Source organism: Homo sapiens, chromosome 1 (genome assembly GCF_000001405.40).
Source record: "Homo sapiens chromosome 1, GRCh38.p14 Primary Assembly".
Classification (NCBI taxonomy): Eukaryota; Metazoa; Chordata; class Mammalia; order Primates; family Hominidae; genus Homo; species Homo sapiens.
In genome coordinates this window covers 31,319,057-31,331,196 of record NC_000001.11, presented here as the reverse complement: position 1 = coordinate 31,331,196, position 12,140 = coordinate 31,319,057, and the positions used below count along the sequence as shown (strand labels likewise).

The following is a 12,140-nucleotide window of genomic DNA, read 5'->3' as shown; positions in this document are numbered from 1 at the left end:
GCACTCCAGCCAGGGCGACAGAGCAAGACTCCGTCTCAAGAGAAAAAAAAAAAAGAATATTATGATACAATCAACTAGATTTCAGTCTCCTAAATTACAATTTCATTCCAATCCCTTTTCCCTGGAATTACACCCAGATTATCTTGTTTGCATCTTGAGTGCTCCCATCTCTTCAGTCTGTTTTATAGGCAATTACCTGGTTTATTTCTATCTATGGCTGAAACTATACTCTGTATGGGAGGGATTCATGACTAGATTCATTCTCAGAAAGCAGTCTGAATTCTTGGGAGAGACTTCATTGTTAACATGGACACACCACCAAAAGTCAGATGACGTGTATGCAGTAGAGGACACCATATAAAATATTTGAGGCCCCTTCCCTTTGTGCTGAGTACCTCACTATATATACTACATCCATCCATTCATTTAATCCTCTTTGACAAAGGTTCATGGGAAAAAATCATCTAGAAATCATATAAATTATCCAGGATCACAAGGCTGATAAATAACAGAAGTGCAATTCAAATATGAGTTTATCAGGTCTCCTACATCATACCAATATTTTCCCCATTTTTATTATTAATCTATATTATCCTTACAATTAAAAAAAGGAGAAAGATGAACTTACCTACAAATAGAGGAAAGTACATCTAATTCTGTTCTAGCATATGCTCCAAAATCAAACAGAAACAAACAAACAAAAATGCTTTGCTTCCCACGCTACACCAAAGGGAGCTCTTCAGAGCAACCTGTGCATGGATTTCTGACATCAAGCCATAAATAAATGCCCAAGAGGCATATCAAGTCCATCATCAAGTTCAATAAACCCAACATGACACTTAAACAGAATTAGTCCCATCTGAGTGTCTGCTGGTAAAAACAGGAAAAAAACGAAACCTGACAACTTGGAAAGGGCTAGCTCCTCAATCACCACATGAGAGTAACAGAGTGAGCCCATTATAGTCCCCTTAAAACCGTTACCCCAACTGCGTTAGGTTCAACATTAATTTCTTCCACAACTTCCACTGGCAATAAAGGAAAGAAGTGAAAATCTCAAATCATTAGAGGACAGCTGCAGCCAAAAAAATGTCAAAACAAAAGGTCACTGTTACCCTTGGGTAATCTTAATTCCCTCTCCACAGTTTAAGTCAATTCATCTCCCAATCAATGGTATATGACAATAATATAAGCACATTCGTGAAAGTGTTTTAACACCCTTTATTCTTGTTGGGATTAAGGATTCACTAAAACATTTACTAAACGCTTAAACTATATTATAGGCAAAAATATATCCAAGCGTTAATGAAACATGGTCCTCCCAGTCAAAAAAACTCAAGACCCTAAAATATGCACATCATTCCCATTTCAGGGATAAGGAAATTAAGGCTCAAAGACTAGGAGACTTGCCAAGAAGCCAGTTAATGGTAGAACTGAGGCTATAATTCATTCATTCATTCAGTGAGATTTACTGAACACCCACCCACTATACCTCAAGTATTGTACTATGCCCTGACTCATCCAAACAGCCTAACCGTTCCACAATTCCATGGACTAAGTGCAACAACACTCATTTTTATTACACGCCACTCTAATTTGTTTACATCACTAGACTGTAAGCAATCTGAGGGCAGCAAGGGATTATGTTTCTCTTACCTCTGTGTTCCCACCAAAAAAGCTAATCAGAAAATAGAACTCAATAATTATTTGCTAAACTGAATCCACTGCTAAATATATTTGAGCTTCTATCATAAGCAAGAAACTCTGAAAGTATAATGTTGAAAAATCTGTTCTCAAAATTTCATAGTTTAGTGCTGGATGGCAGAAGACAGTAGGAAAAAAAAAAGAACTTTATAATTGTATAGGGTTGCACTGCCTAATAGATAGTCACTAGTCATGTAGCTGTTTTAAGTTTCAATTTCAATTAGTTGAAATAAATAAAATGAAAAAGTCATGTATCAGCACAGATGTAGTATAATACAAAAATACATTTGTTCATTTTCCTGTCAAAGAACTTCTAAAACTCCTGGGATTTATTAAGTGATAGGAGTGTATTCTGTTATTCATAGTAAGCCCCTTTTGATTATACCTGAGTTTATTTTAATGAGGTGACAGAGTGGGATCCCTAGATAGCCTCAGGATGGACTAGTCACCAGAAAGACCAAGCGATCAGAGGGCTGGAACTTTTTCTATTTTGAGACAGGATCTTGCCATATTGCCCAGGCTGGACTCAAACTCCTGGACGGCTCAACTGATCCCCCTGTCTCAGTCTCCCAAGTAGCTGGAACTACAGGTGCTCACCACCATGCTGGCTTAGAGGACTGGAATTTTCAATCCCACCCACCAATCTCCTACTTCTAGGAAGAAAGAGGAGGGTTGGGAGCTAGAGACTGAGCTCTATAAAAACTCCCATACATGAGATTTGTAGTTTCTGGGTTGGCAAACACATCCTAGTGCTGGGAGGGTGGCATACCAGAGAGCATGAAAGCTCCCCACCACACCTTACCCGATCCCACTCCACTCCAGCCATACCCTACCCCATGTATCTCTTCAATTATTTGGCTGTTCCTAAGTTGTATCCTTTATAATAAACTGGCAAAGAATAGTACTGAATCCTATACATACTATGTTTTTCCTATACATACACACCTAAGATAAAGTTTAATTTTTATTTATTTATTTATTTATTTTTGAGACAGGGTCTTGTTCTGTCACCCAGGCTGGAGTGCAGTGGCATGATCTCGGCTCACTGCAACCTCTGCCTCCCAGGCTCAAACAACCCCCTCAGCCCCCTCAAGTAGCTTGGACTACAGGCACACACCACCATGACCAGTAAATTTTTGTATTTCTGTGGAGATGGGGTTTCACCATGTTACCCAGGCTGGTCTCAAACTCCTGAGCTCAAGCGATCCACCTACCTCGCCTCCCAAAGTGCTGAAATTACATGTGTGAGCCACCATGCCTGGCTGTGAAGCTTAATTTATAAATTAAGCACAGAAATAGATTAACAATAATAACATAACAACATACTGTAAGAACAGTTATCACACACTGTTGCTGTAACTTTTGCAGTTAGAAATTCGACAGCAAAACTAGTATGAATTTTTCCTTCTTCACAATTTCACACACAGAAGATTCATTCTTAGGGTAGATCTTAGCAACCACAGGACAGGATTACGTTTTCTTTCCTTAATTTGTTTTTAACCTTTATTTTAGATTCCGGGGGTACATATGTTCAAGTTTGTTATCTGTGTACACTGCATGATGCTGAGGTTTGGGATATTAATCATCCCATTACAGTAGTACTCAGCATAGTACTCAAAGTTAAATTTTTCAACCATTCTCCCCCTTCCTCAGTCCCCCCTCTAGGGGTCCCTGTTTTTCCCTTATTAAGTTGAGAACTTTTACCTTTTGACTTAAAGGAAGCCCTTTATGGCTTCTCTCTGGCATATCAAAATTGCCAGCATTAGTATTACACTTTGGGGCCATTAAGTAAAATAAGGGTTACTTGGAACACAAGCACTGCAACAGCAGTCGATCTGATCACTGAGAAGGCTACTAAGGGACTAATGGGTGGGTAGCGTACACAGTGTGGATGGACAAAGGGATGATTCAAGTCCCAGATGGAATGTGGCAAGACAGCACAAGATTTCATCACACTGCAACTGCAACTTAAAGCTTATGAATTGTTTCTAGAATTTTCCCTTTAATATTTTCAAACCTCAGTTGACCTAGGGTAACTGAAACCGTGGAAAGTAAAGGCACAGATGAGTGGGGACTACTGTAAAGTGTTTTCCTGACTTCTGTAAGCCATTCTGGCAAAGTCTCAAACCTAAGTAGGTGGTCATGGAACCCCTGTTTACAGCTGATTGGTCAGAAGTACAAGTGGCCCAGGACTTGCAGCTGGCATCTGAAATGGGGGAAATTTTGTGGGACTGAGTCCCTTAAATTTGTGAGATCTAACACAAGCTCCAGATAAATAATGTCAGAATTGAACTGAGTCACTGGACACCCAGTTGGTGTCCAGAGAATTGGGGAGTTGGTTGGTGTCAGGAAACAAATCAGAGAACATAAGGAATATTTTCATCATCACAGAAAGTTATATTGGATAATACTATGAGAGGGGAAAGAAAATCTAGCTTAGGTTTGAATAGTAGGAAGGGGTCTTCAACTCAGTGTTGGCTGAAGTATTCTGAGAACATGACATCTGGGAAACCAGCTCAAATTAGAATCTACCTACCTGAGCCAAAGATGTTAAGACCTGATCAGACCAGAGTTATTTTCTAACTCAGTCCTTTCAGGCTGAGACTTAATAATCTTCCCTCTTTATGGGCAGAGAAACTAAGATACACTGTAAGGAAGTCAATTGCTCAAGTTATCCAATAAACCTATAGATCTCAGGATTAAAACTCACAGAGTTTCCACCTAATTATTTGGCTCCCTGAGCTCTCCCTCTGAGGCTTGCCTCAGCCCAGCTGTCAGACTGACAGATTCACTTGTAAGCTGTCAGCCACAATCAGAGGCATCACCTGACAGGGTATGGATAAAATGAGTTGAAGATTGACTGCTGGAAGGTCACAGGCCTTTAATCCCACACAGTCCCCAAAGTGTCACATATGCCCAAATTAGAATGGGACTTTCAGGCACTGGCAGCTATGGCAACTATACTAACAAGAAAACCTGTGCTCAGACAGAAAGAGATGAATGTCCTGTGGGGTGGGGAAGAGTTCGATGTCATTAAATTCCAGACAACATAAAATGAGAAACTTAATTACAGACTGCTGACTGCCAGCTTGAAAACTGCTGGTAAACCATTTCTTAAGCAAAGATGCAATTTGCAGAATAGTAGTCTACAAGGTTAGAGGCATGGATTTATTATCCAAAGATCACCTCTTGGATTTTTTTTTTAACAGAAAAAACTTAAAAAAAATTTCCAGAAGTCAAAGTCCCTCTTCCATGTACATCCCTTCCTTAGCAAAACCAACTCCCCAGAAGTGACCATTGTTAATCTGTTGAATATTCCTCCAGCCTTTCTTCTAAACATAGGCAGTAATTTAAACTATATAAAGAAAAAAGATATTAAAGGCATATGCACACTTGCTTTAAAAGGGGAAGAGAGATGCTATACAAAGTCTTCTGCAACATGTTTTTAAATTTTATTATCTTAGACTTCTTTCCATGTTAGTTTTTTCTTTTTTTTTTTTTTTAAGGGACAGGGTCTTACTCTTACCCAGGCTGGGGTGCGGTGGCACAATCATAGCTCACTGCAGCCTCTAACTTCTGGGCCCAAGTGATCCTTCTGCCACCACACCCAGCTAACTTTTTGTAAAGATGGTGTCACAAGATTCTTCAGGTGTCACTTTTCCAGCCAGAAGCTGCTGTGGCCAGCAGCACCTTTGCCCGAGTTTTGCTTGGACCTGCTGGGCTCGTTCTGCCCACTTGGCCTGGCAGGCTGCATTCAGCTTTGCTTGGGGCCACTAGGCCTGTTCCATCCACTTGGTCTAATGGGCTGCGCTTGGCTCATGCTGCCGTCCCAGATCCCACACCTGCCAAGGGCGAGCCAGGCTCGGAGTGGCGAGGGATGCATGAGTGAGTGAGCATGGGGTCCAGCCACTGTGCACAGCCAGGCACACTGGCTGCTGTGGCTGGGCAGGCAGCTCCAGGTGCTGGCACAGGCACCAGCTCCATGTGAGGCTGTGGATGGACCAGGCATACCACAAGCGGCTTCCACTGTGGACTCTGGGGAACATGGTGGTGCCCAGAAGCTTGGAGAGGCCAGGAACCATAAAGCCCCAAAGAGGTGTCACAGCTCTGGCTCAGGGAGCCCTTGGATCTGTTACAGCTCTTTCAGTCCCGCCATTCAACGGGTCCCAAGTTCTTGTCTTGCATCCAGGAAGAATGAGGTAAGCAGACAACTGGAGGGTAAGCAAGGCAAAGAGTTGCTTTATTGAGTGATGGTACAGCTCTCAGGAGACCCAAAGTAGGTAGCTCCTTTCCACAGGCAGGTCAACCTGTTGAGTGCAGCTCTTAGCAGAGAGGAGACCCAGAATGGGCAGCTCTTATCTGCAGGCAGGTCATCCCAACATCTGCAGCCCTTGACGGAGAGGAGACCCAGTGTGGGTAACCCATTTCCACAGGCAAGTCCTCCCAGTGTCTGCCCAAGTCTGGCTGAGTCCAGGATTTTTACAGTCTTCAGAAGTGTGTGCTGACTGGTCCATGGGCAGGCCCAGGAAAAGCACCTTAAGTTCTCACTCTGGGCCACAGACTCCACCTGGAACTGACAGCCTGGCCCCTATGCTTTAGGCCATCCCTGGCTTGAAGGTGCGGCTTCACCGAGACCTGCCCCTTTCCACCCAGGAGCCTGTCTGCCTCTTGTCACCATCAATCATGTTGTCCATGACGCCCAGTTGTTCTGTGCCCAGGGGCACCTGCAGGCCCATGCTGAGCCACCCTCAGCACCCCTTTGGCCTCCCTCCTGTGCTCACTGGCACCCAAAGTCCAGAGGGGGCCAAGATGGTAGGAAGCTGGCATGGCAGCACCACCCCAAGGTGTGCAAACCCAGCCAGGTTGCAATAGTGCCCAGGCTCAGCTTCGACTTTGCTCCAAAATCAGAGCAGGAGCCGGGAGCTTGGAGAGTCCAGGCAGTGGGAGCAGGCACTTCTGAGACTATGGGGGAAAGGGGTCTTCCCGGACCTCCAAGAGTGCAGGGATGCCTGGGTCTGCAGCCAGGGCTGGGTGGCGGCAGCTGCACCCATGAGGGTGGGCTCCCACCCCACTAACTCATAAGGGGGCAGGGCTCCTGCCAGCTCCATAGAACATGCAGCCCTGGCCGCACAGCCCCCACTATGGCTGGCATCTTTGCAGCAGCCACTCTAGACAGGCCTCCATCGCCATCAGTGGGGTCTTGCTATGTTGCCCAGCCTGGCCCCGAACTCTTGGCCTCAAGTGATCTTACTACTTCAGCCTCCCAAGTAGCTGGAATTACAGGTGCATGCCACCACTCCTGGCTCATGTCAGTAAACTGACATTTATTGTGTTTCATTGATTCTAAGATGCACTTTCTTTTCCTCTCACTTTAATCTCTCTGAAATTGGAGTGCTTCTCATAATCAATGATGTTTTACAACTGTTATCAGTCAGGTAGCAGTGTGATGGAATTGTATGAAAACCTTCCATGGCATCTTTCTGGTAAGATGAGGCATAATTATGTCTTAGAAATACAGTCATTCTTTCAATCATCTGCATAGTCTACAAAACAGATGCACATAATTTATGTAATTCTCTACTTACACTAAATTCTTCAAAGAATTTCTGGATTAAAGGGTAATAAGCACATAAAAGATGTTAATAGGCATTGCCAAAGTCTGTGAAATTATGCTCCTGATAGAGAGTAAAAGTATCCATTTCTAACACTGGGTATTAACAGCAATCTTTTAAAATATTTATTAATCTCAAAGATTTTAGGAGTGTTTTAAATCATTTTTTAAAAATATTTGATAACTTTGCTGCCCTATGTGAAAAAAAATTTTTGAGATAATTGTACATTCATCTGCACTCAAAAGAAATAATACAGAGGTCTAGGCCGGGCTCGGTGGCTCACGCCTGGAATCCCAGCACTTTGGGAGGCCGAGGCAGGCAGATCATGAGGTCAGGAGATCGAGACCATCCTGGCTAACACGGTGAAACCCTGACTCTACTAAAAATACAAAAAATTAGCCAGGCATGGTGGCGGGTGCCTGTAGTCCCAGCTACTTGGGAGGCTGAGACAGGAGAATGGCGTGAACCCAGGAGGTGGAGCTTGCAGTAAGCCGAGATTGTGCCACTGCACTCCAGCCTGGGCAACAGAGCAAGACTCCGTCTCAAAAAAAAAAAAGAAAGAAAGAATACAGAGGTTTTATGTACACTTTATCCAGTTTTCTCCAATGGTGACATTTTGGAAAACTATAGTACACTAACACAACCAGGATGCTGGCATTGATACTGTGGTATAAGAAATACATATTCGATCTTTGTCCCTAGTTCCTGGCAGAGTTCCTAAAACGCTTGGACTATTCTGAGTGATAGAAGTGTCTTTTGTTATTCATTAAGTCCCTTAATGAGGTGACTACTGTGGGTCCCTAGATAGCTTCAGAAACAGAGAAATCAACGATGTGATTAGATAGGGTTAGAAATTTCAGCCTGGGCTGGGCATGGTGGCTCACACCTGTAATCCCAGCACTTTGGGAGGCCAAGACGGGCAGGTCACAAGGAAAGGAGTTTGAGACCATCCTAGCCAACATAGTGAAACCCCGTCTCTACCAAAAATACAAAAATTAGCCAGGCATGGTGGTGCACACCTGTAGTCCCAGCTACTCAGGAGGCTGAGGCAGGAGAAACGCTTGAACCCGGAAGGCAGAGGTTGCGGTGAGCTGATATTGCACCACTGTACTCCAGCCTGGGCAACAGAGCTAGATTCCCTCTCAAAAAAAAAAAAAAGAAATTTCAGCCCTACCCTCTGACTTCCGGGAAGGGGAGAGGGGCTGGAGACTGAGCTCTATCACTGAAGGCCAATAATTTAATCAACCATGTCTATATAACAGATCCTCCATATAAACCCCTAAGCAATGGAGTTTGGAGAGTTGGTGAACACATCCATGTGCCAAGAGGGTGACACACCCCAACTCCATGGGGACAGAGGCTTTGTACTCGGAACACTTTGGGTCTCACCCTGTGTACTTCTTCATCTGACTGCTCATTTTTATCCTTTAAAATAAACTAATAGTAACTATAGCATTTTTCTGAGTTCTGTGAGTCACTCTAGCAAATTACCAACTTTGGGGGGAAGTGCTGGGAATCCCAAAAATTGTAGCCAAGTGAGACAAAAGTGTAGGTAATCTGAGGATTCAATATTGGGGCTGGCATCTGAAGTGAGGGTAGTCATGTGGGACTGAGCCCTTAAGTTTGTGGAATCTGACACTAATTCCCAGGTAGTTAGTGTCAGAATTGAATTGAATTGTTGGGACATCCAGTTGATGTTAGAGAATCAGAGAACTGGAGAATTGGTTGGTGTAGGGAAAAACATCTCAGATAAAATCGACTGGCTCTTGTTCAGATTTCCCCAGTTTTACCTGTACTCATTTGTGTTTCTGTATGTGTATGTATTTAGTTCCACGTAATTTTACCACATGTGTAGATTCATGTATACACTGCCACAGTTAAGATACAGAACAGGTCCCTCACCACAAGGATCCTTCATATTGCTACTTCCTTCCCCTTCTTAATCCTTGTGAACCATTAAATAATTTGTTCTCCATTTAAATAACTTTGTCATTTCAAGTATGTTACATAAAAATCTTTGCAAATCATATATTTGATATGAGACTAGTATCCAGAATATATGAGAAACACCTAACTCAACAATAAAAACAAAAATAACCCTATTTTTAAAAGGGAAAAGGCAGGTGTGGTGGCTCACACCTTTAATCCCAGCACTCTGGGAGGCTGAGGAGGGCAGATTACTGGAGGACAGGAGTTCAAGACCAGTCTGGCCAACATGGCAAAACCCTGCCTCTACTAAAAATTAGCCGGGTGTGGTGGCACATGCCTGTAATCCCAGCTACTCAGGAAGCTGAGGCATGAAAATCACTTGAACTCAGGAGGCAGAGGTTGCAGTGAGCCAAGATTGCACCATTGCACTCTAGCCTGGGCAATAGAGCAAGACTCTGTCTCAAAAAAAGAAAAGGATTTTGTATTAGTCTGTTCTTACACTGCTAATAAAGACATACGAGACTGGGTAATTTACCAAGGAAAGAGATTTAACTGACTCACAGTTCAGCATGGCTGGGGAAGCCTCAAGAAACTTAACAACCATGGGGAAAGGGGAAGCAAACACATCCTTCTTCACAGGGCAGCAGGAAGGAGAATAAGTGCCCAGCGAATGATGGTTTTATAAGGGAAGCCCCTTATAAAACCATCAGATCTTGTGTTACTATGATGAGAACAGGATGGGGCAAACCACCCCCATGATTCAATTATCTCCACCTGGTCCCTACCACAGCACATGGGGATTACGAGAACTACAATTCAAGATGAGATTTGGGTGAGGACACAGCCAAAATATATCAGATTTGAATAGACATTTCCCCAAAAAAGATATACAAATGGCCAATAAACCCAAGAAAAGAGACTTAACATCATTAGCTATTAGGGAAATTCAAACCACAATGAGATGTCCGTGCACATCCATTAGGATGGCCATACCCAGAAAGATAATAACAAGTGTTAACAAAGATGTAAAGAAAATAGAACCCTCATACATTGCTGGTAGGAATGTAAAATGGCGTGGTCACTTTGGAAAAACAGTTTGGCAGTTTCTCAAAAAGTTGAACATGGAGTTATCATATGACCCAGTATTTCCACTCACAGGTATATACCCAATGAAAGCAAATATCCACACAAAAAGTTGTACACAAATATTTATAGCAACATTATTCATAATACTAAAGAAGTGGAAACAACCCAAATATCCATCAACTGATGGAACTGCAATAAATTTGTAATGGCAATAAAAAAGAATTAAGTACATATTATAAAACAGATGAACCTTGAAAACGTGCTAAGTGAAAGAAGTCAGTCACAAAAGACTATATACTGCATTATTCCATTTACAAGAAATGTACAAAATAAGCAAATATACAGAGACAAAGTAGAATAATGATTGCCTAAAGCTGGGGGCATAGAGAGAATCTGGAGTGATGGCTAATAGGTACAGGGTTTCTTTTTGGGGTGACAACAATGTTCTCAAAGTAGATCGTGGTGATGGTCACAAAACTCTGAATATACCAAAGAAACCACTGAATTGTACACTTTAAGCAGGTGAAATGTGTGGTATGTGAATCATATCTCAAGTAAAACATAAGAATGTTATATAAATGGAATCATAAAGTGTATAACCTTTTGAGATTAGCTTTTTTCACTCAGTATAATTTCTGGAGAGGGATGATCCAGGTTGTTGCATGTATGAATATTTTATTCTCATTCCTTTGTATTGTTGAGTAATATCCCATTATATGAATCTACCAGTCTAAGTTACTTTTTAGTCATACGGAGAATGAGTATCTTTTACTATAGTACCAAGTAATATTTTTTTATCCTGTGAGTTGTTTTTCATATCCTTGGCACCTTTTCCTAATACCCCCTTTGTATTAGCTCTTTATCATATGTACTACAAATTCTTTTTCCAAACTTAACTCTGATTACAATGATTTTTGCAGTGAAGTTTTTAATTTTCATGTAGTGAAATATTCTTCTAGATTTTCTTCTAGTATTCTTATGGTTGCCTTTTTTTAAAATGTTAAAATCTTTAATTAAACCTTATTTTAGCATAAGAAGTTAGCAAGTTGAATCTTTGGATCCACCAGCAGTGTGATATAGTAGAAAGATCCAGGGGCTAGGAATCAGAAGGATTGGGTTCTAGTCTTGGCTATGCCACTACCTAGCCAAATCACTCTGGGCAGACAACCGGTCTGTGGAACCTGCCTTTTCGGCTTAACATAGTTTTGGTAAATAAATAAGATTATAGATTTATAACAGGATTCTCAAAAAAATGTTCAACAGACGCCTCTTTATGAAAAAAACTTAAAACATTATATATATTATATATGTTTGTATCACTTGCAATACTATTCCCATTTCATGCGCTATCTACTAGAAAACTCACACTGTCAGCCTCAGACAGAGGTAGCTTGCCCTCCCGCAAATCCTGTGTCTAAAGAAGTCAAGTGATTTGCCTAGGGTCACAGGTGAAGTCTAAGGAGGAGCTGGTTTCAGAAGTAAACCCAGTTAGCTATACCCCAGTCTTCCTCCTGAGTCAGAGACCACAATTCTCTGCCCGCTAAAAATGAACTGTCATCTTGTATTCATATCTATACATTAAAAAGAAAACAAAGGAATGAAAAACTACTGTCTGAAAAATGTACAGCCTATAATTAGGAGGTGGTGGAGTGTTAGCAGAGAGTAGAATCAGAGGGCTGAATTTCAAGTTATAAACTCCTACCTTGCTTCCGACAGCCTGGGATTTTGATAAAGGCCCCATAGTCTGTCACCATAGCAACCTATAAAGATGGGGGAAAAAAATCAATGTCACATACATGAGAATCTTTCTTC

At 42.0% G+C, this 12,140-nt stretch overlaps 1 protein-coding gene across 11 annotated transcripts in view; it reads right to left on the bottom strand.

Annotated features, from left to right (window-relative positions):
• Nucleotides 1-12,140, bottom strand: part of ZCCHC17 (zinc finger CCHC-type containing 17) — a 67,905-nt gene that overhangs the window by 33,740 nt on the left and 22,025 nt on the right. For all 11 annotated transcript variants that reach the window (NM_001282568.2, NM_001282566.2, XM_047422508.1 and 8 more), the window contains one exon: nucleotides 12,031-12,088. In NM_001282568.2, the coding sequence (NP_001269497.1) occupies nucleotides 12,031-12,088 (58 nt within the window). The remainder of the gene's footprint in view (nucleotides 1-12,030; nucleotides 12,089-12,140) is intronic.